At 37.7% G+C, this 23,182-nt stretch overlaps 1 long non-coding RNA gene across 1 annotated transcript in view, besides 1 other annotated feature; it reads left to right on the plus strand.

Annotated features, from left to right (window-relative positions):
* LOC101929492 (uncharacterized) overlaps positions 1–23,182 on the plus strand; it is a 126,333-nt gene that overhangs the window by 23,879 nt on the left and 79,272 nt on the right. The gene's annotated exons all lie outside the window — the stretch shown is intronic.
* Positions 9,437–10,636: an enhancer, noted in NCBI's record as "BRD4-independent group 4 enhancer chr8:31165622-31166821 (GRCh37/hg19 assembly coordinates)". NCBI's record gives its function as "activates an origin of replication core promoter dependent on BRD2, P300/CBP, MED14 and CDK7 cofactors, and independent of BRD4, by STARR-seq in HCT116 cells {active_cell/tissue: HCT116}" and the evidence as "EXISTENCE:reporter gene assay evidence [ECO:0000049][PMID:35650434]".

Genomic DNA, 23,182 nt, shown 5'->3' on the forward strand with positions numbered 1-23,182 from the left:
AGGCTGGTCTTGAACTCCTGACCTCAGGTGATCCGCCCACCTCTGCCTCCCAAAGTGCTGGGATTACAGGCATGAGCCACCACACCTGGCCCATTTATACATTTAAAAGAGCCCTGACAAAAACATTTGCTCGTGGCATGGTTGTTTCCTAATATAAATTTAAAAATTGCCATCTATCTAGAATAAAGTACTTGCTGTTAAATAGACAACAAAAATAAAAAGTCGATAAACAACAAAAAAATTGTCCCAAACGTTTGCATTATTAACAAAATTCTTGATTTTGGTATGCCTTGGATATCTGAAATCAACATGAATAAATTACATTCATGATTTTGATATCTGCCATCCTACTTCTCCTCTTATTCTTTTAGCTCAGTAGATGGCACCATGCAGTTGCTCATGGTATAAACCTCACCGTCAACCTCATTTCCTTTTCTCTAGTATCTCCCACATCCTATCAGTCACCGATCCAGATGTCCCTTCCTCCAAAATACTCCTCAGTGTACCTGACTCAGCTCCATTCCTGCAGCCACTCCTGCAGTAAAGCCACCTATTGTAGCTACTGCATCAGTCACTGAGCTGGTTTGGGGCAGTGGTTCTCAGAAAACTGGGGCTATTAGGCAAGATCTGAAGGCATTTCTGATTGTCATGACTAGGGCAAGGTGCTACTGGCATCTCGTGGGTAGAGACCTGGGATGCTGCTAAACATTCTCCAGTGCACAGGAAAGCCCCACAACAATGATCTGGCCCGAATCATGTCAACAGTGTGGCCACTGGGAAATCCTGGCAAAGGAACATCTTTTACCATCTGCCTGATAAAATTTCCCGAAAGCAGTGTGCATAATCTAGAAAATAAAAAGATGTAATTACCGTTATTTAAAAATGACAGATATTTCTATGCATCACTAAAACCCCAAATGGGCACTCATTTTATACTAGAATGACAAATTTTGTTAAATGGATCCAACAGTTGATGATTTTAATAGTTAACATCAGGATAACATTGGTTACCTTAGCATATACAAGTAAATCATTTTCTCTGCCTTAATCACTGTCATACAGTTGTGTGTCTGCTCTTGTTAATTTCTTTTATAATGGTTATGTTCTTTTAAGAGTATGCTTACTACTGGATTCCACATAGGATATTCAATGGTTAGCAATTTAAACTTAAAAAATCCTAACAGAACAGAAAATACCAAGGAAATAAAAGCAATGCAAACAAACTGACGTTGTGGAGGGAAGACCAAATGAAATTATCACTGTTATAAACTGTGCAGCTAAAACTAGGTCAACACGAATACTGTGAAGGGAGCATTGGCAGTTACGTGGCAAGTTGTGCAATTGTGAAGTTAACTGCATCATGGCTTTCCTCTCCTGATGGGATGGCATACACTCAGACTCCCAGTAGATGGGGAAAAGTGCCTCTTAAGCCAAGATGGGATTTCAAATGCAACTCCAGACACAATCAGTTTCTCCTAATGAAAATGGAACAAGTTAGAGCATGACTATTTTAAATTTGTGTTGTTTTTACATTAAGCAACAACATAACAAGGATCCTAATCATGCCATGTCTCTGCTTAACATCCTTTAGAGGTTTTCTTTGCAATTTGAATTAAGTCTAAATTCTTGGCTAAAGTTTAAAAAGCTGTGCAAGGTCTGAACTCAACACCCCTCTCTTACCTCTTATCTCTCTGCAATTGGCCTTCCTGAACTTCTTTCAGATACTTGTACATATAATGCTCACTCATCCTGTTACTTCTGCTACCTTGCATGTGCTAATTTCTCTGTCTGAAACATCCTGTTTCCCCATCCCCAACCTTCCTGGTGGGCGTCTCCATCCAACTGACCCAACTTGCCTTTTAGCTTTCGAGTGTCCATTTTGTTGTGTTGCTAGCAGTGCTAAATTCCCAGCTGTTTCTGTGAGGCTTATCTAAGTTTCCAAGAAAGTGTAACCTTCCTTCCCCCAATCAATCAATCAAACAAACAAACAAAGCTATTAGAAGCGGAAGTACTAGGTATTTCATCAATTGTTAAATGTTGTGCTCCATTAACACTGACTTTTGGTCAGTATGCAATATTCTTCCTCTGTTATTCATTGATCTTCATCGAGTTTGGGTTTTCCATAGCACAATTATGCTAGTTTACACCTGAATAGAGCCCCCACAAACTATCTTTAGCAGTAAAAGAAATGAAACAAAATAAATGGAAACAGAAGAATGTATCTCTTGGAGGGGAGAGTTCAGAATATGAGAGTTAAAACTCCTTGAATACTTCATGTAATATTCTTTTTTTTTTTGAGACAAGATCTCACTCTGTCTCTCAGGATGAAGTGCAGTGGAATGATCTCAGCTCACTGCAAACTCTGCCTCCTGGGTTCAAGCCATTCTCATACTTTGGCCTCCTGAATAGCTGGGACTACAGGTGCCTGCCACCAAGTCGAGAATTTTTGTATTTTTAGTAGAGATAGGATTTCATGTTGGCCAGGCTGTTCTTGAACTCCTAGCCTCAAGTGATCTGCCTGACTTGGCCTTCCAAAGTCCTGAGATTACACATGTGAGCCACCGCGCCCGGTGTTGTGTAAAATTCTTGATCATCCCTGAGAACTTCCATAAAATTACTGAAGGGTTATCACTTTCTATGTGTGGTATTAGATCCCATAGTTGAGTAAGTCTATTTATGCTGTTATCACCATGTTAATTACTTCTGTATCATTTTAAAAACTAGCTTTTTGGAGGTGAAGTGTAGTTTTAATCTTTAGGATAGTGCTTTGACCTTCTCTTTAGAAGAAAAACATGTAAAAATCATCTTAATGCTCAGTGATTGGGAGACTGTGTTGCAGACTCACCCTGTGAATTCAGGAAGTCCATTTTGGCTCAGCTTGAATTCCAGTTTCCAACAGGGCTGTGCCCTTGCTCTCTACGTCCTCTGAATTCTTAGCTGATACTATTAGGAAGTAAAATATGATAATATGTCAAACTGTCAATGAATGCTTTCCTTAAATATAATAGGAGCTTTATGACTAAGTGCCAACACTGTTTGGATTTTATTTGACCTGAACAGCAAGTCTGCATTTATGCATAAGACATTATGATATATATATAAATTATGGTGTCTAAATAGGTACAGAAGCATTCTAGAGGTTAGCAGCTTAGGAAGTCAAGTCTTAATGTGTTTGGAGAGGAGCATCTTAAATGAGGATTCTGAAGGATGTAGATAGTTGAAAGAGTAAAAAGCACAGCATCAGAGAGAGGGTACGTAACTCTATGTGGAAGCTAATTCTAACTGGAAAATGGCCATAGTCATGAAGGATGTTCACCAATCATTCTGCCTGCCTTCCAGACACATTCCAGGCATTGAAGTTAGACATAGATCTGTGATTCGACGTGGCCAATAGAAAGATAGCTGAAGTGCTGAGAGTCTTTTCTGGCAGAAGTCTGTTGGAACAAAACTGGGAATTTCCAAGTGTCTTAAGCCATGTTCCACTGATTGGCGATGTTCCAGATGGGGGAGGCCTCATCAGCCTGCACCCCTCAGTGAAGATGATGAGGGTGTGTCCAAGTAAGCCTCTATGATTTTGGGGCCTGTGATTTTGAGGTTATTACAATAGCATAAACCAGACTATCATGACCGATAGAGTGGGCTGTTGTTTCCTTACCTAGATTGAAAAAAATTCAGAATGTCAGGGTACATCTGATTCTCTGGAATTGTCACCACCTTATAGGAGGCCATGGGGAAAGTGTATGAGGAAACAGATGATGAAATATCACAGAGCTATGTTTCTATATATGACACCTTATACAATTAAGATGAATGGAAAGAGAATTAAAATTAAATAGGTTTGCCATTTACTCTACTAGATAGCTCTATTTAATTTAATAATTGCTTAGCACAATTAATTATACATTTATTTATTTACAGACTGTAAATATCATATCTCCTCCTGTGTTTGACTCATACATCTTGAAACTCCCAGGCTATTTGATTAGAAATATCCAAACTCGGGGTGGCACATAGAATGATTATGATGGGAATTTTAAAAAACAAACTAAGAATCACCACCTTCTCTCTAATCTTAAAGTATATGTTGTTTAAGAATTTTTCACACTCTGATTTATATTATAGATAAAAAATATACCTGGATACTCAATTAGACTTCATTGTTTTGAGAGCAAAAACCTGTCTGGTGTATTTAAGAGAGTTTCTGGTCCATAGAGTGTGCTCTGAAATGTTTTGAATATTTGAATGTTTAGAATTAAATGAATTGGCAAGTGATAACAATCATACCACGTGAATGGAGATCAACAAAACCGCATTGAAATTTATGTCAAGGAACAATGATTTTGCTTTCTGGAATAGATTGAGAGATAGCATCAATCCACAGTTAGGAAGATAGCTAGTCACTGGGAGATCATTCGGAATAAGCTCTCATTTGGTCATAGAGAACATAATTCTGTTTAATATCATGATGTTTTTTAAGCTCAGAGAAGCATACGGTAGCCAAGAGGGTTGGAGAGATGTCAGAATGGAACCTACCAGGATAATTTTCTTTCATCTGTGGCAGTTGCTTAACCCAATGGAAAAAAGAGTATTTAGTCTCAAGCAAGGGACTTTGTATCATTAACATTAACATTAGGCAGATGGTGAACCTGAGAGACATGCTCAGTTGTTAGTATTTTGCCTTATGAGATAAGCCAAAGCAAATTCGTTGCTAACATTGTTTTTTCTTTGTTTTGAGACTGAGTCTTGCTCTGTTGTTCCAGCTGGAGTGTAGTGGCCTGGTTCAATCTTGGCTCACTGCAACCTCCGCCTCCTGGATTCAAGCGATTCTCCTGCCTCAGCCTCTCAAATAGCTGGGATTACAGGCATCCACCAGCATGCCCAGCTAATTTTTATATTTTTAGTAGAGTTAGGGTTTCACTATGTTGGCCAGGCTGGTCTCAAACCCCTGACCTCAAGTGATCAACCCATCTGGGCCTCCCAAAGTGCTGGGATTACAGGTGAGAGCCACAGTGCCTGGCCATATGCTAACATATTTATGCATGAATAGCATTAGTTTAGTTTAAACTGGAGTTCAACACATAGCTGCGTGCTTTATTTATTTATTTATTTATTTATTTATTTATTTATTTATTTTTTTAGCTTTATCGAGGTATGATTGACAAGAATTGTATATATTTAAGGTGTACAACTCGATGTTTTGATATGTGTACACATGGTGAAATGATTATCACAATCAAGTTAATTAAGATATCCATCACCTCACATAGTTACCATTTTGTGTGTGTGTGTGTGTGTGTGTGTGTGTGTATTGAGAACACTTAAAATCTACCCTCTTTGCAAATTTCAGCATACAATACGGTATTATTAACTGTAGTCACCATGCTGTACATTAGATCTCCAAAACTCATTCATCTTGCATAACTGAAATTGCATGCCGTTTGACCAACATCTCCCCATTCCACAGTCCCTGGCAACCACCATTCTACTCTCTGCTTCTGTGAGTTTGACTATTTTAGATTCCACATATAAGTGAGATCCTGAAGTGTCTTTCTGTGTCTGGATTATTTCACTTAGCATAACATCCTCCAGGTTCATGTTGTCACAAATGGTGGGATTTCATTCTTTTTAAAGGCAGAATAATATTATATTGTGTGTACACACACACACACACACGCACGCACACCACATTTTCTCTATCCACTCATCTGTCAACTGGCATTTAGGTTGTTTCCATATTTTGGTTATTGTGAATAATGCTTCAATGAACATGGGGTATAGATATCTCTTTGAGATCCTGATTTAATTTCCTTTGGATATATGAGGGGACTTCATAAAGTTCATGGAAAAATGAAACTAAGAGATAAAAATAAAAATGTAAACTTTTTTCTCAACATACACACTATCAAGTTCAAGACATTTTTGTAAGCGATGATGCCAGCTGTTTAGTCCATCCCTAAAGAACTGAGGGTCCTGGGAATTAAACCATGTCAATGTGGATTTTTAGATTATTAACTAAAGAAAATAGGTGCTTTTTATAGATTTGCTTTAAGATTAGGAAGCAAAAGAATTCAGAAGGACTTTGGCTAAATCAGGACTGTAAGGTAGCTGCCTAATATTTCTCACAGAAATGCTTGTAAAATTGTCCTTGTTTGATGAGAGGAATGAGCAGGAGCATTGCCATGGTGGAGAAGGACTCTGGTGAAGCTTTCTGGGTGTTTTACTGCTAAAACTTTGGCTAACTTTCTCAAAACACTCTCATAATAAGCAAGTGTTGCCATTCTTTGGCCCTCTGGAAAGTCAACCAGCAAAATGCTTTGAGCGTCCCAAAAAACTGTTGCCATGACCTTTGCTCTTGACTGGTCCTTTTGCTTTCGCTGGACCACATCTACCTCTTGGTAGCATTGCTTTGATTGTGCTTTGCCTTCAAGATTGTACTAGTAAAGCCGTGGTTCATTTACTGTTATAACTTTTCAAATAAATGTTTAAGAATGTTGACACCACTTGTTTAACATTTCCATTGGAAAGTCTGCTCTTGTCTGCAGCTGATCTGGGTACAACAGTTGGTTTTGACTCTCATTAAGTGGAAAGTTTAATTTAAATGTTTCAGTCAGAATTGTGTAAGCTGAACCAGTTGAGATGTCTCTGGTGTTGGCTATTGTTTCTACTGTTAATCATCAGTCATCTTCAGTTAAGGCATGAACAGGATGATTTTTTTCCTCAAAAATTGAAGTGGATGGTTTGCTGAGAGCAACCATTCACTTCAACAACAATTAATCCCTTTTTAAAACAAGGTACCCATTTGTAAACTGCTGATTTCTTTGGGGAATTGATCCCATAAACTTTTCATAAAGCCGCAGTGATTTTACCATTCTCCCACCAAAACTTCACCATAAACTTGATGTTTGTTCTGGTTAGATTTTAGCAGAAATCATGTTGCTGTCATAGGGGCTGTTTTCAAACTGATTATTATCCTTCTTAGTGTCTCAAATGAGATCCTGTTCAGATATGTTATAATGAGCTAGTACAAGTTTATTTTGGTGCAAAATAATTTTGAAATCCTTGCGTAATTTTTTCAAAATATTCATTTCCCATGAACTTTTTGAAGAATCCTTACACACCCAGAAGTGGAATTGCTGGATCATATGGTAGTTGTATTTTTAATTTTTTGAAGAATCTCCATACAGCTTTTTGTGTAACTACTGGCTATTTGTATGTCTTCTTCAGAAAAATGTCTAGTTAGACCTTTTGCTCATTTTAAAATTAGTTTTTTTTGTTTTTTTGCTATTGAGTTGTATGAATTCCTTATATATTTTGAGTATTAACTCTTGTCAGATATATGGTCTGCAAATACTTTCTCCCATTAAGTTGCCTTTAACTCTGTTATTTATTTATTTTTAGTTTATTTTTTTATTTTTTATTTTTTTGCTGTGCAGAAGCTTTTTAGTTTGATGGAATCCCACTTGTCTATTTTTGCTGTGTTGCCTGTGCTTTGGTGTCATGGCCAAAAAAATCTTTGCCAAGACCAATGTCAAGAAGCTTTTCTCCTATGTTTTCTTCTAGCAGTTTCATAGTTTCAGGTCTTACATTTAAGTCTTTTATACCTTTTGAGTTGACTTTTGTGTGCGGTATAAGATAAAGGTCCATTTTCATTCTTTGGCATGTGAATGTCCAGTTTCTCCAACACCATTTATTGAAGAAACGATCCTTTCTCCATTGTGTGTTCCTGACATCCTTGTTGAAGATCAGTTGACCATAAATGTGTGGATTTATTTCTTGGCTCTCTTTTCTGTTCCATTGGTCTATATGTGTTTCTATGTAGTTGGGTGCTTTTAAAAATAATATTTTGCTGGTTAATACTGCAAACTGTCTTCAGTGAGTTTTCATGTTTACATCATTTTTCTAAAATTCTAAAGCTTTATGGACTATGCACTTTGATTATTTCTTTAAAGCATCCAGAATGGTGCCATATATACAATAGGAACAGGCGATTTTTGAGTGAGTCTATGTTCTAAGCACTGTATTTAGATATTTTACTAATATTATCTCATTTAATACTCTCAACAAGCACACAATGTACGTATTTATTCTTTCATTTAATAAGTATTTATGAAATGCCCACTACTATTCACCCATGATATTCCCACTTCTGTGAGCACTGGTATAATTACTTCCATTTTACAGATGAGAAAACAGACTAGGAAACATTTATTTAACCCTGCTAAAGTTACTGTTGTAGGTCTTTGCTAAGATGTCTACATCTTAATTTCCAGAACCTATGAATATGTTAACTTACATGGAAAAAAGGATTTTGATGATGTGATTAAGGTTAAGGATCTTAAAATGGAGAGATTAGCCTGGCTTATCCATGTGGCCCCAATCTAATCACATGAGTCCTTAAAAGTGAAAAACTTTTCCAGCTGTGGTTATAGAGAGATGTGAAGAGAGGAGGAGGTCAGAAATATGCAACATTGCTGGCTTTGAAAATAGACGAAGAGGGCCATAAGCCAATCAATGTGGTTGTCCCTAGAGGCTGAAAAAGTCCTGGAAACAGCTTGTCCTCTAGGGTTTCCAGAGATGAATGCAGCCCCGTGGACACCTTGGATTTAGCTCAGACACATGAATTACATTTCTGACTTACAGAACTTTAATATAATAAATTTGTGTTGCTTTAAGCTACTAAGTGTGAAATTTGTTATGGTAGCAATAGAAAATGAATGTAGTTACATAGATAGTCTTATAGCCAGGATTTCATTACCAGGTCTCTCTGACTCAAAAAATGCACTTATTTTATTATGTACTAATAAATATCATTACAGCCAATGAAATGCCTTTCATCCTCCTCTTTTTTTTTTTTGACTGAACAGGCTCTATTTCCTCTTCTCCTCATAATAACTGCTGATATTGTTTTGAATATTTACCCCTTATTGGATATGGTAGAATTGTTAACTAAGGGACCTCACTTTCTTCTGAACAAGGAGTGGGCATGCCACACAAACCAGGTCAATTGTAGATTTTTTCCTGAGATTTTGAATCTTGGCTGGCATATCAGTTAAAATGCCATTTATATGGCAGCAAATTAGATGTCCATAGAACCCTTTTCTGATAAAAATTTATGATGGATATATGGAAAAAACATTTTTGCATGTCTATGCTGTCAGGAAAGTAAAAGATTTAATCTGAAGCAAGAAATCAGGAGAAAGATGAATTGAAATGGCTGAGCCAGCATTGGAGCTTGCACTTGCTGTAGGTTATTTGTTCATTCTGGGTGGTCTAGAATGTGTGTTTAGTAACCATATCTGTGGAAAACAAAAGGAAAAGGTCAGGATCAGGGTATGAAGTCTGATTGGAGACTCCTTCTTTGCCCATAGCACAGTGTTTCCAGAAGTGGCAGTGTTAGTTGACAAAACAGAAAAACAAAACTCACTTCATCTAGGGAGATAGTGGGTATGTATAAATATATCTTTTTTAGCTTTGGCTCTAGGCAAGCTAGAAAAAGAAAAATCCCCTGGGAGCATGAGGCTGGAATTCACACTATATGTATGATCCCAAAAGCTCTAAGTTGAAAATGTAGTTTAAAGTGGTCCCAGGTTATTGGCGTTTAATGCACCTGTAAGAAATAAACACAAATTCTGCTTGAAGAAATTTATCATCAGCCTAGACCTCAAAGAATTTCCACAAAAGGGGTGCCAAGGAACATAAATTTATGATAAAAACAATAAATAGGGAACAAATCCTTGTATCAGCAAAACAGAAGACCACAGAAACAGACATGCAATGATTGTGGATATTACAATCATAAAATAACTGTGTTTAATATGTTTATGAAATTAAAAGATTGTATGGAAGTATAATGTGAGAAACAATGCTATCAAACTTGACCAGGTAGATTAGAAAATAAATACAACTTAGGTACACATTCACAGCTGCTACATCCTATGTATTTCTTTCTGGCTTGTGTAGTTCCACTGCTTGGAGACAGCTAATGACTTACCCTTCTTGGATGCTGTTGTGCCACCAGAATAACCAGCTGTATGCCTGGTGTCTTTGGCTATTTCCACCACTTCCAGACTTGGATAAAATTCTGCATGACAGGGTGTAGAATCTGCATCCTAAGGTGTTACTCTTAGGGCCAGATGAGAAATTTGGAAGTGCAGGGGGAATTAATTTCCATTAGGGTAAAGTTAAGCTACTATAAACAAGAGACATAAAACAGCTGAGTATGGCCAGGTGCGGTGACTCACGCCTGTAATCCCAGCACTTTGGGAGGCGGAGCCAGGCGGATCACCTGATGTCAGAAGTTTAAGACCAGCCTGCCTAACATGGCGAAACACGGTCTCTATTAAAAATACAGAAAATTAGCCGGGCATGATGGCGGTCACCTGTAATCTCTGCTACTCGGGAGGCTGAGGCACAAGAATTGCTTGAAGCCGGGAGGTGGAGGTTGCAGTGAGCCGAGATTGTGCCACTGCACTCCAGCCTGGGTGACAAGAGTGAAACTTCATCTCAAATAAACAAAAAACAAAAAACAAAAACAAAAAACCAGAAACAGCTGAGTATATAAATTTTCTCTTTTTCCCCTTTTCCATGCACTATTCCACAGGATGGTTACTTCTTAAAGCCATTTGTGAAATGGGAGCCAATCTGATACTACATCATTTTTGTATTTTTTCACTTCTTTTCTTAATTTACTTTTTGTTCATCTTTGGTTTATGAAATGTTCACTTAAGAGCTCATGCTAATACATGAGTGCTTAAGATAGTTAATCTATGCAGAGCTTGTACAAAATAATAATTATTAGAATAAGTTCTTAGAAAAATCAGGCTTGATGGGGTTAAACAAATAAAATAGAACTAAAATCCTGGGCAACAGTTGAGAAGGTGATGAGTGGAGTAAAAAAGGTTCTAAGGTTCTGGTCTTGTTTCATATTAATTAACTTTGGACTTTGTAAATCTAATCAATAATACTAAAATCTCCAGAGCAACTAATAGAAATGTGGTGAAATAATTACAAAAGAAGTATAGAGAAAAAATAAAACAAGGATAAAGGGTATTAAAGCCCTCAGTCTATCCAAAAGAAAGCAAGAAGGAGTTGTGGAAAACAAGGCAAATAGAAAGTAAAAAATAAGATGGGCTATTTGTAATTACGAGTAATATAAATGAAACTCTTAAAAGACAAAAACTCTTAAGCTTGATAGAAACATCTAAAGCTGGTTTGTCTACTATCTATGAAAAACATAGCCAAAACATAAAGACACAGATTGTAGGTCAAATATGGAAAAAGGTAATAAATACCATTTAAATATTATCCCTCTGCCAAAGCTGGCATGACTGTATTAATGTCTGACCAAGTAAAATATTAAGGCATAAATCATTTCTAGAGACGAAGAGAATCACCATTGATAAAAGTTTGAAATAATCAGGAAGTTTTAACATTCTAATCTTGAATGTTCCTATTAACATAGTTTTGAAATATATAAAATAAAAATTTACACGAAATAAGGAGAAATAAAAAAAATCTTAGAGAGGTTTTCACATACTCTCTTTGTAAATGTTAAGATAAGCAGACAATCAGTAAGAGAATAGATCTGAACCACATAATTGTTACAAATTTTTAAATTTCAATGGCTTAAAACATTCTAGGTTTATTTCTTGTTTAAATAAATAGCTTAACACAAGTGTTCCTAATTGGTAAGAGAGTGTATAGGTGGTATGTAGGGCTTCTGTGCACTGTGGCCATTTAGGGGCCCAGGAAAACAGATGGTCACAATATACAATTTCCAAGATCATGCTGAGTATCAAACACTAGCTGGTAGACAGGGGAAGAAAGCATGAAAGATCACATGGGGAGTTTATATGACATAGGCTGAAGGCGGCTTTTTTCACTTCCATCCATATTCATTTTCCGGAACTCCAACATACGGCTACACCTAACTACAAGAAAGGCTGAGAAATAGCCCATCTAAATACATGATCAATATTTTAAAAATGGAATCCCATTTTATGTAGAGTATTAAGAGTTAGAAAATTCAGTGAAAATGTTGGTATCATTTACAACAGCAACAAGAATGTAAAATGCCAGGAACAATTCTAACGACAGATGTGCAATTTTGTTGGAAGAATTATGGAAGACCCGAATCAATCAATATATTATGTTCATGGATAGGTAGAGTCAGTATCATAAAGATGTCAGTTTTCCCCTAATTGACCTATAGATTCAAAGCAACTAAGTCAAAATCCTAATCGGAATTTTGTGGAATTTGACAAGCTGACTTTAAAGTTTGTATGAAAGAGCAAAGATTGATGAATAGTCAAGATGCTCCTTGAGAAGATGAAGCATGTGGCAATGGAGGTGGTGAACTGGTCTACCAGAGAGCAAGAATTAGTATACAGCTACACTGATGAAAATGGTGTGGTATTGGTATAGGATATAGAACAGATAGATGGGGCAGAATAAAAGTCCAGAGACAGAACCAAGTGTATTTGAAAACCTGATGTATGGCAGAGCTATTCAATAAATGCTGCTGGGAGACTTAACTGTAGGAAAAAAGCAATGAGGATTCCTATATACTGCCATATACAAAGATCAGTCCCAGACAGAGCAAAGACATAACTGTGAAAAACAAATACTTAAAATGTTTAGAAGAAAATATAGGAGAATATCTCCATGATCCCAGAGCAGGAAAGGGCTTTTTAAAGCAATATATAAAAAGAACAGCATTTATTTTTTTTTCTTTTTATATATTGCTTTAAAAAATCCTTTTCCTGCTCTGGGATCATGGAGAATTCTTCTATAACCGTGTTAATTAACCATGTTAAAACAAAGAATCTCTGTCCATCTAAAGATACGTAATGCAGATGAAAATATAAGTAATCAATTGGAAGAAGAGAATTGATACATAACTATTTTTTAATATTTATAAAATATAGATATTATCTATGATTCAGTAAGAAAAGATAAATGATCTGGTAGAAAATTGGGTAAAAGACCTATACAGACATTTTACAGAAGTATAAATATAGACATATGAAAAAATTGTAATCTTTTGAGATAGTTAAACCAATAGTTAGAACTCAGGAGAAAGTAAGACTTTAAGACTTTAACTTTCTTTTCTTAAATAAGTTGATTTTTTTCACTCTTGTATGGCATCATCCTTTCATTCTTTTTTATTAGCCATCTTCATCTTTCTCATCCGATGCTTAGTATGACAGGCTGATAAGTACAATGTAATTTTGAATGTCTCAAGTGGGTTTGCTGCCTTACTTAGAGTAGAGTGCTGCTTCAGAAACTATTTGGGTCAATTTCCTAATGTTTGCCTTTATCTCAATTGAATGAGTCATGCTTGTCAGTTCAACAAAGAAAAAAGAAGAAATTGATCAGTTTTCTTTGTTTAAAAAAGCATTAGGTTTGTAATTGCACATCTTGAGCTATCTGATCTTTAACAATAGAAAGGGTGACTTAGGTTAAGAGAATTATTTGGCTTAGTCAATTGATTCATGCCTCTGGCCTTTAATACACCCAGTTATGTTATTATTCCAGGAAACTAGTTTTCTGTGCTACCATTTGTCATTTTCTATATGTGAGTAATCAGTTCACTTCTTCCAAGTACTTTAAGTTTTGACACAAACCTAACACCATGAAAGCCAGTTAAGTTTTATTGTTAAGGGAAAAAAATCCTGACCTAGCAATGAGAAAATAATGTTTTCATATTTGCTTACTGGAAGAGTTCAAGTTTGCTGGAGTGCCACCTCTTATTTGTTGAAAACTCCTGGATTAGAGGAAACCCCTGCCCTCCAGAGATATTCATTAGCCCCAAAGAGTAAAGGTGTGTGTTTTTACCTCCATGCTCAAGGGGAGTACTGTGAATGTTTAGTTATTTTGAAGGAGAAAGTACAATGAGATCACAGAGAAGTTCTAGAAAGAAGAAAAACATTGTAAGGCAAGACCTATAGTCAAAAATCAGAATAGGCTGATTTTCTTTTGTTTTACGTAATGTGATTTCTGCTATTCACAAGTTCTCTTTCTAGCTCTTTTTTTTTTTTCTGATTCACCATTCATTTTTCAACACATTTATTGAGCATTAATTGCATGCCAAATCTCTCCTGGGTATTTGTGATGCATGCTTTAGCAAAACCAACAAAAATCCCTGTCTTCATGGAGCTTGCATTGAAATGGAGGAAGGCCAATGATAAGCAATAAGTGTAATCAATAAGTGAATTAAATGGTATGTTGGGAATTGATAAGTATTGTCAAGGAAAGTTGGGAATTGGTAAGTATTGTCAAGGAAAAGAACAGAGCAGGATGAGGGACACTGAATTGTTGACATGGGGTGGTTGTAATCTTGAATGTGGTTTTCAGAAAAGACCTCCATAGGATGGTGACATCTGAGCAGAAATTAAGGAAGGGAAAGGAGCATGTCAGGCTGACCTCTGTAAAGAGAGCTCTAGACAGAGGGCATAGCCAGTACGAAGGCCCCAGGGCAGGAGCATTCCTGGGGCACTTGGGGGACAGCAGAGAGACCTGAGTGGCTGGAGTGAAATGAGCATGGGAAAAAGCAACAGGACAGGAATTCTGAGAGTTAATGGCAAGGAGTGGAGGGAAGGCCAAGGGTAGGGGAAAGGCAGGCTCTTGGAACTTTGTACACCATCAGAATAACATTAGCTTTTTGCTCTCCCTTCAGTGGGCACCTATGGTGAGATAGACCGCTAGGGAGCAAGTAAGGAAGAAGAGAGACCAGTTAGGATGCTATTGTGTCAAAAAGGTGAGAACTATGATTAACTTTGGCCATGTGTGAATGGTGGAAGGGATTGCATTTCTTGACAGACTGAATGTAAAATTTAAGAGAAAGATGGGGATGGGCGCAGTGGCTTATGCCTGTAATCCCAGCACTTTGGGAGGCTAAGGCAGGTGGATCACGAGGTCAAGAGATTGAGACCATCCTGGCCAACATGGTGAAACCCTGTCTCTACTAAAAATAGAAAAATTAGCCAGGCGTGGTGGCATGCACCTGTAGTCCCAGCTACTTGGGAGGCTGAGGCAGGAGAATTGCTTGAACACGTGAGGTGGAGGTTGCAGTGAGCTGAAATGGTACCACTGCAGTCCGGCCTGGCAACAGAGTGAGACTCCATCTCAAGAAAGATGGAAGTCAAGCATGACTCCCAGGGTTTGGGTCCCAACAGTGGAAGAATGTAGCAGGCAGAAATGGTGATGACTGCATGCAGAGCAGGCTTTTAGAAGTAGGGGAGGACCAAAAGTTTGGTTTTGGATATTTTAAACTTGTGATATCTATGGGAAATTTATATGGAGTTGAAATGTGGGCTGGAGTTATAAGTTTGAGAGCTGACACCTACTGATTGCATTTACAGTTGTGAGTCTAGTTGAGATGGCCTAGGGAGTGATTAAAGATAGAAAAGAGGCTCTGAAGTGCCTGGGGTGTACCAGGGTTAGGGAGATCAGGGTGAAGAAGGGCAACTAGCTGAAGAGAAAGAGACTGAGAGGCCAAGGAATTAGGGCAAAACCCAAGAGAATGTGGGGATCTGGTAGCCTAGAGCAGAAAGTGTGCTAGGAGGAAGAACTCAATTGTATTAGACGCTGCTGAGAAGTCAAGTACAAAAGGGACTGATAAGTTAATAGGGTAGCTAAAAAGAAAAAAAAGGGGGACTGAGAATTGGCCATTGGATTTAGCAGGGTGGTGAGTTCTGGTGACCTTTATACAGAAAAGTGGTTTCATTTGCATGTTCATTGCAGTACTATTTACAATAACAAAGACATGGAATCAACCTAAATTCCTGTCAACAGTAGACTGGATAAAGAAAATGTGGTATGATATACACCATGGAATATTATGCAGCCATGAAAAAGAACAAGATCATGTTCTTTGCAGCAACATGGATGGAGCTGAAGGCCATTATCCTAAGCAAACTAACACAGGAACAGAAAACCAAATACCATGTGTTCTCACTTGTAAGTAGGAGCTAAACAAAGAGAACACATGGATATGTGTAGGGGAACGACAGACACTGGGGCCTACTTGAGGGTGGAGGGTGGGAGGAGGGAGAGGATCAGAAAATATACCTATCGGGTACTATGCTTATTACCCAGGTGACAAAATTATCTGTACACCAAATCCCATGACATGAGTTTACCTATATAACAAACCTGCACATGTACCCCTGAAACAAACAAACAAAAAAGATTTTAAAAAGTAGGTTGAAGAGAGTGGGGAGAAGAGGGCTTAGAGACAGTGAAACGGCATATGCAGAAAACTCTTTTGAAGAATTTTGCAAGGAAATATGGCTGTGCCTGGCAGGGGAAGGATTTTGATCTATTTTTGTTTGCTTGTTATTAAGAGGAGAGAAATAAGCAGGCAAAAAGAATAATCCAACAGACAGGGAAAATTTGATGATGCCGGAGAGAGTTTTTAATGCCTGCTTCAGTTTGCTTTTCTATCTCAAATTTCACTCTCTATTTCCTCAGGTCATTTGTCCTTAAAATGCATTTGTTTCTCAGCCCACTTGACGGGATCTTCATCAATAAGCATCTCTGTTCATAATAGAGCAAAAATGATTAAAAATGTAAAAAAAGGAATCTGTGGGAAACTGACGGCAGGTAGTGGATGAAACAATTCAGATTTTAATAATCAAACTTTAATTAAACATAAAAGCCCAATTTTTGGAGGTTTAGGGAGTTTGTATGTTACAATACAATTCTAGAATGAAAGCATGGGAATAACTAGGTTATTTTCCCATCCAATGATCTAGGGAGGTTTGGAAGGGCCTGGAAGAGTTTACTTTCTTTGGCCAAATGTAGAACAGTAATTTGCTGTAGTGTAGAATTCACCTGCCAGTGTTGGTGATTTCTGTGGTCATTAGTTACCAGACACTATAGATAGGATTGACTGTCTTTGGGAAATGCCAGAAAGTGGAGACAGAAATGCCTAAGAAATTGTGATGCAGTCCCTGCTTTGTAGCCTCTTCTGTGACCTTCAACAAATCATTTAACCTTCATGCTGAATAATCTATCAAGTTTACTCTTAGATTTGAGCTATCCAAGCTTTCATATCCCTGTTGTTTGATTTCCCATATTAATGGTGCATGACTCTCTGCTTTCCTTAGGACAGCATGGCCTTATCATGATGGCAGGATTTTAGGCATAGTATCTCTAGTGTTTGGGTCATCTGATAAAATGTAAAAATAAACTTCACAGATACTTTAAGAGCCTTTCGCATGGGTATAGGGATTTGCTGTCTTTTCTGTTCCTCTCCTCATAAGGAAAATGAAAAAAAAAATAAGTGGAGAACTCAACTATGAAAAAGTGGCAATTCAGTGACTATGCATGTAAGAGGTATTTTGGTGCCTAAAACTAAATCTCAATTTCCATACCAATTTACTTTTAAACACCTTAAAGTTTTGGAATCTCAAAGTCTCCGAGAATTAGCCATTTTCTGGTCCTATTTACTGCAGAAGTAAGGCTTGCATTCTTTAGCTTGAGGTTTGAAAGTGCGGATTACAGAATACAAAGAATATGAAGAAATAAGAGTAACTCATGCTAAGTGAACTATTGCTAACATTATTTTTGGGAAAATAAGTTTAATGGAGCAATATCTATTCCTCAGTGATTATTTTACTGTGCAGGTATGCTGGGAATGTGGGGACCTTTAATAACCTTCATTGCTTGCTAATTCAGATGCTTATCATTTGATACCAGCAAAATCACTAGAAAGCCCAGCAGCATAGCCATAAAACCTTTGATTTACATTACTGGAGCTATCTAAAGTGAAATCGCTTTTCCTTTGTGGGCTGGTATTGAGAAAGAGACCTCATCATTGGTAGGAAAGAGATTTGAGCTTTGTCATTCGCAAAGTGGATCAATTTTCATTTATTAATAATATCTCATTATGTGGTACTTAAGTGGAGGATAAATAATTCTTTTTTGTATCATGGGTATTCTATGACACTTTAAAGTGCTTTTGTTAAGTGCTTTCTCATTTAGTTAGAGAAGAGTAAAGTAGCTGCTGAAGAATCCTCATTTTAAGACTTGAGTATAAATTATTCTTCCCCTGTAGCTTTTCTGGGCATATGCTCAGAGAAAAGCGGGTGGTTAAGGAAAAATGCAATTATGTTTTCTTTCCTTGGCTAGGAAGCACCAGTATGAAAATTTTCTCACAGCCTAATTTTTAAAAAACAAAAAGGCTTTGTGGCAAGGTAATTGATTAAGAGGGAAAGTACTGAGGATGATGACCTTTCTACAGTGACAGAGAGTGATGAAATTGGTTCAAAGTAAAAAAAAAAAAGAAAAGAAAAAACAAATATAGAGATTCATTAGATAGTCTAAGGTTGCCATGGAAGGTAACTTTTTCTTTTCCTAATGATTACAAAATTTCTTCGCAACTTTTTGAAATTGTTTGGTTCACTTATTGGTAGTATGATTACTAAGTTCTACGAAAACTTGAAGATAGAAGGTGCCACGGACCAAATGTTTATGTTCCCCCCAGATTCATACATTGAAACCTAATCTCCAATGTGATAGTATTAGGAGGTAGGGCTTTTGAGAGGTTATTAGGTTGTGGAGGTGGAGCCCTCATGAATAAGGAGCCCTTATAAAAGGGTCCTGAGAGAGGCTCCTTGCCCTTCTCCCAAGTGAAGATATAGCCATCTATAAACTGGGAAGCCAACCCTCACCAATTGCTGAATCTGCTGGTGCCTTGATCTTGGACTTCCCAGCCTCCAGAACTGTGAGAAATAAGTTTCTGTTCTTTATACATTTCTCAGTCTGTGGTATTATGTTATAGCAGCCTGAATGGATTAAGATAGAAGGAAGAACAAAATGCTCCATTGTGGTTTCTCCCAGCCCAGTGATCTTGTTTAGAATACCAGCCCTGGTAGACAGTATACCTAACTTTGTAGAAAGATAGAATAATGGATAGTGAGAGAACAACCTGCGTTTAATCTTTAGATTACCTAGCTTGTGAGGAATGGGCTTTCCTTTCTGTTGCCCCATATGACTCTAGAGTTTTAAAATTCTAGGTCGAGGGTGGCAACTTGGAGTGAATATTGGTGTCTGTCTACACTGGGAAGGATTCTGAAGTCATAACAATTTCAGTGGGAAGACGGTCCTTTGTTGATTAGTAATTTCAAGGGGAAAAGTCCACCAGTCAGATTCTAGATGGAGGTTGTCAAACTTTTTCTGTAAAAGGCCAGATAGTAAGCATTTTAGGCTTTGCTGGTCATACAGTCATTGTTGCAACTACTCAGCATGACCATTGTAGTGTGAAAGCACACATATATATTATAATAATACTCTCATTTGAAAACAAAATTAGTGACTGTGCTCCAATAAAGCTTTATTTACAACAACAGGCAGCAGGCTGGATTTAGCCCATGGGCTGTAGTGTGCCAACCTCTGTTCTATAGACTGTTAACCAAATCCTACTGAAGTCAGAGTTCCTGGCTGTCTGCTAATGCCATCATATTTTCCTCAGGCACTTTGATCTTTGTGGAGACACACTATAGAGTCTATGATGCTTTCACCAAGGTTGCTTGACAACATGCTTTCCCAGGGGTTAACACTGCAAAAGGAAGAAGGCTGTGCTAGAGTCAGAGCTGATGCTTTGTCAAAGAAAATATTTAGGCATCAGGACTTGAAATTACGTGTACAACCCTGGCTATGTTGGAAGCAAATTTCTGGGGAAATTGTCAGAGCATAAAATTAGGTCTAGTTGAGAAGGAATGCAAGCCCCAAGGTATGGCTAAGCTGAGACAGCAGGATGGAGGAAATTAACACTGGGATAACTTATGAGTCTCAAAAGGTCGCTATTTTCATAGAAACCATGCCTCTGGAGAAAGATGATTTTGTATTTTATTCAATCTTAATTGCTTGAATAGATTAGAAATTTATCCTCTATACTTTTAGTAAAATGACTCCAATTACAACGTCTCCTATTATTATGCTTCCCAAATCCTGCCAAGTCACGCCTGCACAGACCTCACTCTGAACAGAGTGCCATTGTGAGCATACTTTCTAGAATGAAGACTTTAATCCATTCTTAGTCAAAAGCAAATTCTATTTTCCTGCCAAGGCAATAGTACATTTTGGCCTAAGTATAAGCTAAGTTGATAAGTTCCCATGTTACAAGATTTGAGCAATGGAATGGTCCAGCTATTGTAAATCTTTTTCCTTTAAAATTTACGTAAATGCTTTGATATTTCCAAAATTATGGTGTCTTTAAAGTACTATATTGTAAATACGTGAAACAAAGATGTAGGGCAAAAAGGAAAGCAAGAAAATATGCTGTAGGAAAAATCTTGTTTTAGCCAAGGAAGAATGGTAATGATAATATGGCTATGAGTTAGGCATGCCAGTTACAAGAGAGATGCCAAGATTCCTTTTGAAAGGGGGAAGACTTCCAATTTCATGATGACTCTGATATTTACGGTCTTTGTTGTTACTATTTTTATGGCATGATCTTTCCAATCTCAATAACTCACAGTTGCAAAATAGAAATCACTTCTTGATTTGAAGGCTATATTTGGAACAAATTCAGAGAACAATAAATAGTAAAGAAGGTAGAATTGAACACCATGAAAATGTGGCAGGGTTTAATTTTTTTTATATTGTAACTGAGATATGCACAAAAAGTACTGTCCTTTATTATAATTGGGAGTGGAAGGGAAAGGTCATCAGAATCCTTACTGTTTGCTGCTGGGAAAATTAGGCCCCAAAAAACGTATCCCTGAAGGGAACACGGTGTCCAATCAATTTCAAGTCAGTCTAATAGCCAGTATCCTTATCGGGGCTATTTCTCTTCTCCAAAGTCTCCCCTCATCTTCCAGTCTCCTTTGCAATTTGACATTGCGTGCGTAGAGAAGCCTGACAGCCTGTAAGGAGGGAGACAGCCCCTTGGTACAACTTCTGTTCTTCTCTGCTGGCTCCTGCTGATACCTGGTTTATCTCTGGTCTCTGGGTGACTGTGACTATTTTTATTTGAGCTCTATACTCTCTGCATGGCTACAGACAACCTTCTCTGCCCCACTGCTGATGTAAGCCCCTCTGGGTTTTTTTAGTATCCAGCTTCCAAGTTTTACACAGGTTCTCTCTCCAGTCCCTTACGTGGGCCCTCCACTCACTGCCTTGACATGGGGTACCATCTCCAGGCCTCACCTTGCCCACCACACTGCCATTTCTGTTCTGATGCAGCTGCCCCACCTTGGCCCAGAGTTAACTTGAAAGGTGCTCTCCTCCCAAGGAACCAAATAGGAGGTAGGGCACAAGTTCTTCTACTTTATTGCCCCCAACTCTCTGGGGGTTCTATGTTCTTAAATACTCCCTCAATCCAGTTCTTAGAGTAGAGACTCTAGGGTTTGGGATACTAGATCATGAGAGACCTTGGCATAGTCCTAATTCTTATTCTCACTTTTAAATCTCTTCCTATTCTTGCTGATGGAATTTCTACTTTTCCTATTTTCCTTGTAGGGGCTGCATTCATCTCCTTTTCTTCAAGCAGATGCCTGTTGTTCCTATTGTACCTCCCCTCCTAGGCCCTGTGGACTTAGGATGACCAACTACCCTGGTTTTCCTGGGACCATCCTGGTTTTAGATCACGAAGTCCTATCTCCTGGGAAACCCTTCTGTTCTGGGCAGACTGGGATGGTTGGTCACCCCATCTGTGATAAATTACCTCCATGGCTAAGCTTTAGTGTCCAAAATGCTTTAGGGGAAGGAAAAAGAGATTACTCAGAAAGAAACATGGCAAAGTACAGAACTACAAAATATTTTCCTTCACTGTAGAAATAATGGCACATTTGTTTCTATTATATCTAGCAACTAATTTATTGAAAAGGAGCTGGTGTCACTGCAGAATTAAAAACAGGCCAGAAAATCGCTTCTTGAAAGTAAAGTGGCTGTCACATTTATGAAAACTTTCCACTCATTGTAGAAGTTTTCAGTCCAGAAAACTAATCAAATTCAAAATTTTGTGAAACTTGAATCATTTAAGAAACTATTTGACTACACAATAGCTTTTAAGCCGAGTCTTGAAATAAATCTCAAACATGAACATATAAATTGATATTGTCATCGTGACAAACAAAACAATATCCATTCAGTTTCTACTATAATAATATTTAAAATTGAATTAAACAAACCAGGAGGGAAATGAAAGCTATTGGTAGATTCCCAAAACCACGCTTGATTTTGGGCAGTCCAGGGAAGCCCAGGGGGCTTATCCTGGGTGTGGGCATGATGGCTCTTTCCGTTAACACAGGGCAGCCAACCTAATGAGTGTCTGGCGGGGACAGAGAGGCAGACAAGCTGGGCCAGCATCTCAGGGCTTCCAGTGTCTTAAAGGCACATCCCAAGCTCAGGGATGATTTAGGCAACAGCCCACCTTAGAAGTTTCTAAGAGAAGTTAACAGTGTTCTGACAGGTGGGTGTGGAGGAAGCTCATGTGAGAGGACATGGATATGGGGGAGAGGGATAACTGCACAAGTGGACAGCTGTCACATCAAGAAGGCTGGTCTTAGGGTACTGGGCAGGGTTGAAAACAGGAAAAGACCAGCAGGAGCAAGAAGAAATCATGTACCTCAATAGAAGTTTGATCCTACAAATGGGCATAAGGAAGCAGAAAATTGATAACCCAAGAGACCACGTGGGATCTCAGTGGCCTTCACTGGGTTGTGGGCACTGGGTGTGACAAGAAGCTGTAAAGATTTAGGATGCAAAGTGGGTAGACTTGTGCTACAGCCTAACAGAATATTAGGCTACCATGTTTAAATTCAGTTTAGTCTTGACCCTGGGACTAGATAAGCCTTCAGGTGGGGAGAACTTTGAAGAGCAAGGGAAGGTACAGTCAGGTAAGTAGGATTAAGGGATGCAGTTACCCAGGGATCTTTTCTTAAATTGGCTTAGATGCTTTTGCCTGTAGCTACCAGAAGCCTGTTTTGCCAGTGTGATCGAAGTATGAATATAAGAGCTGAAAGGGATCCCTCCATTTACTTATACATTTTAAATAAATAATTTATTAAAATTTGTTTATTAAATTATTTAATACAATTAATTTATTATTTATTTACTAATTTGTTCATTAAATTTATTTTGAAATGTATTATTTTTAAATAAATTTTAAAATAATTAAATATTTTAAATATTTATTTATTAAAATTTATTTTTAATAACTCCATATTAATTG

This window comes from Homo sapiens, chromosome 8, assembly GCF_000001405.40.
Source record: "Homo sapiens chromosome 8, GRCh38.p14 Primary Assembly".
In the NCBI taxonomy this organism is placed as follows: domain Eukaryota; kingdom Metazoa; phylum Chordata; class Mammalia; order Primates; family Hominidae; genus Homo; species Homo sapiens.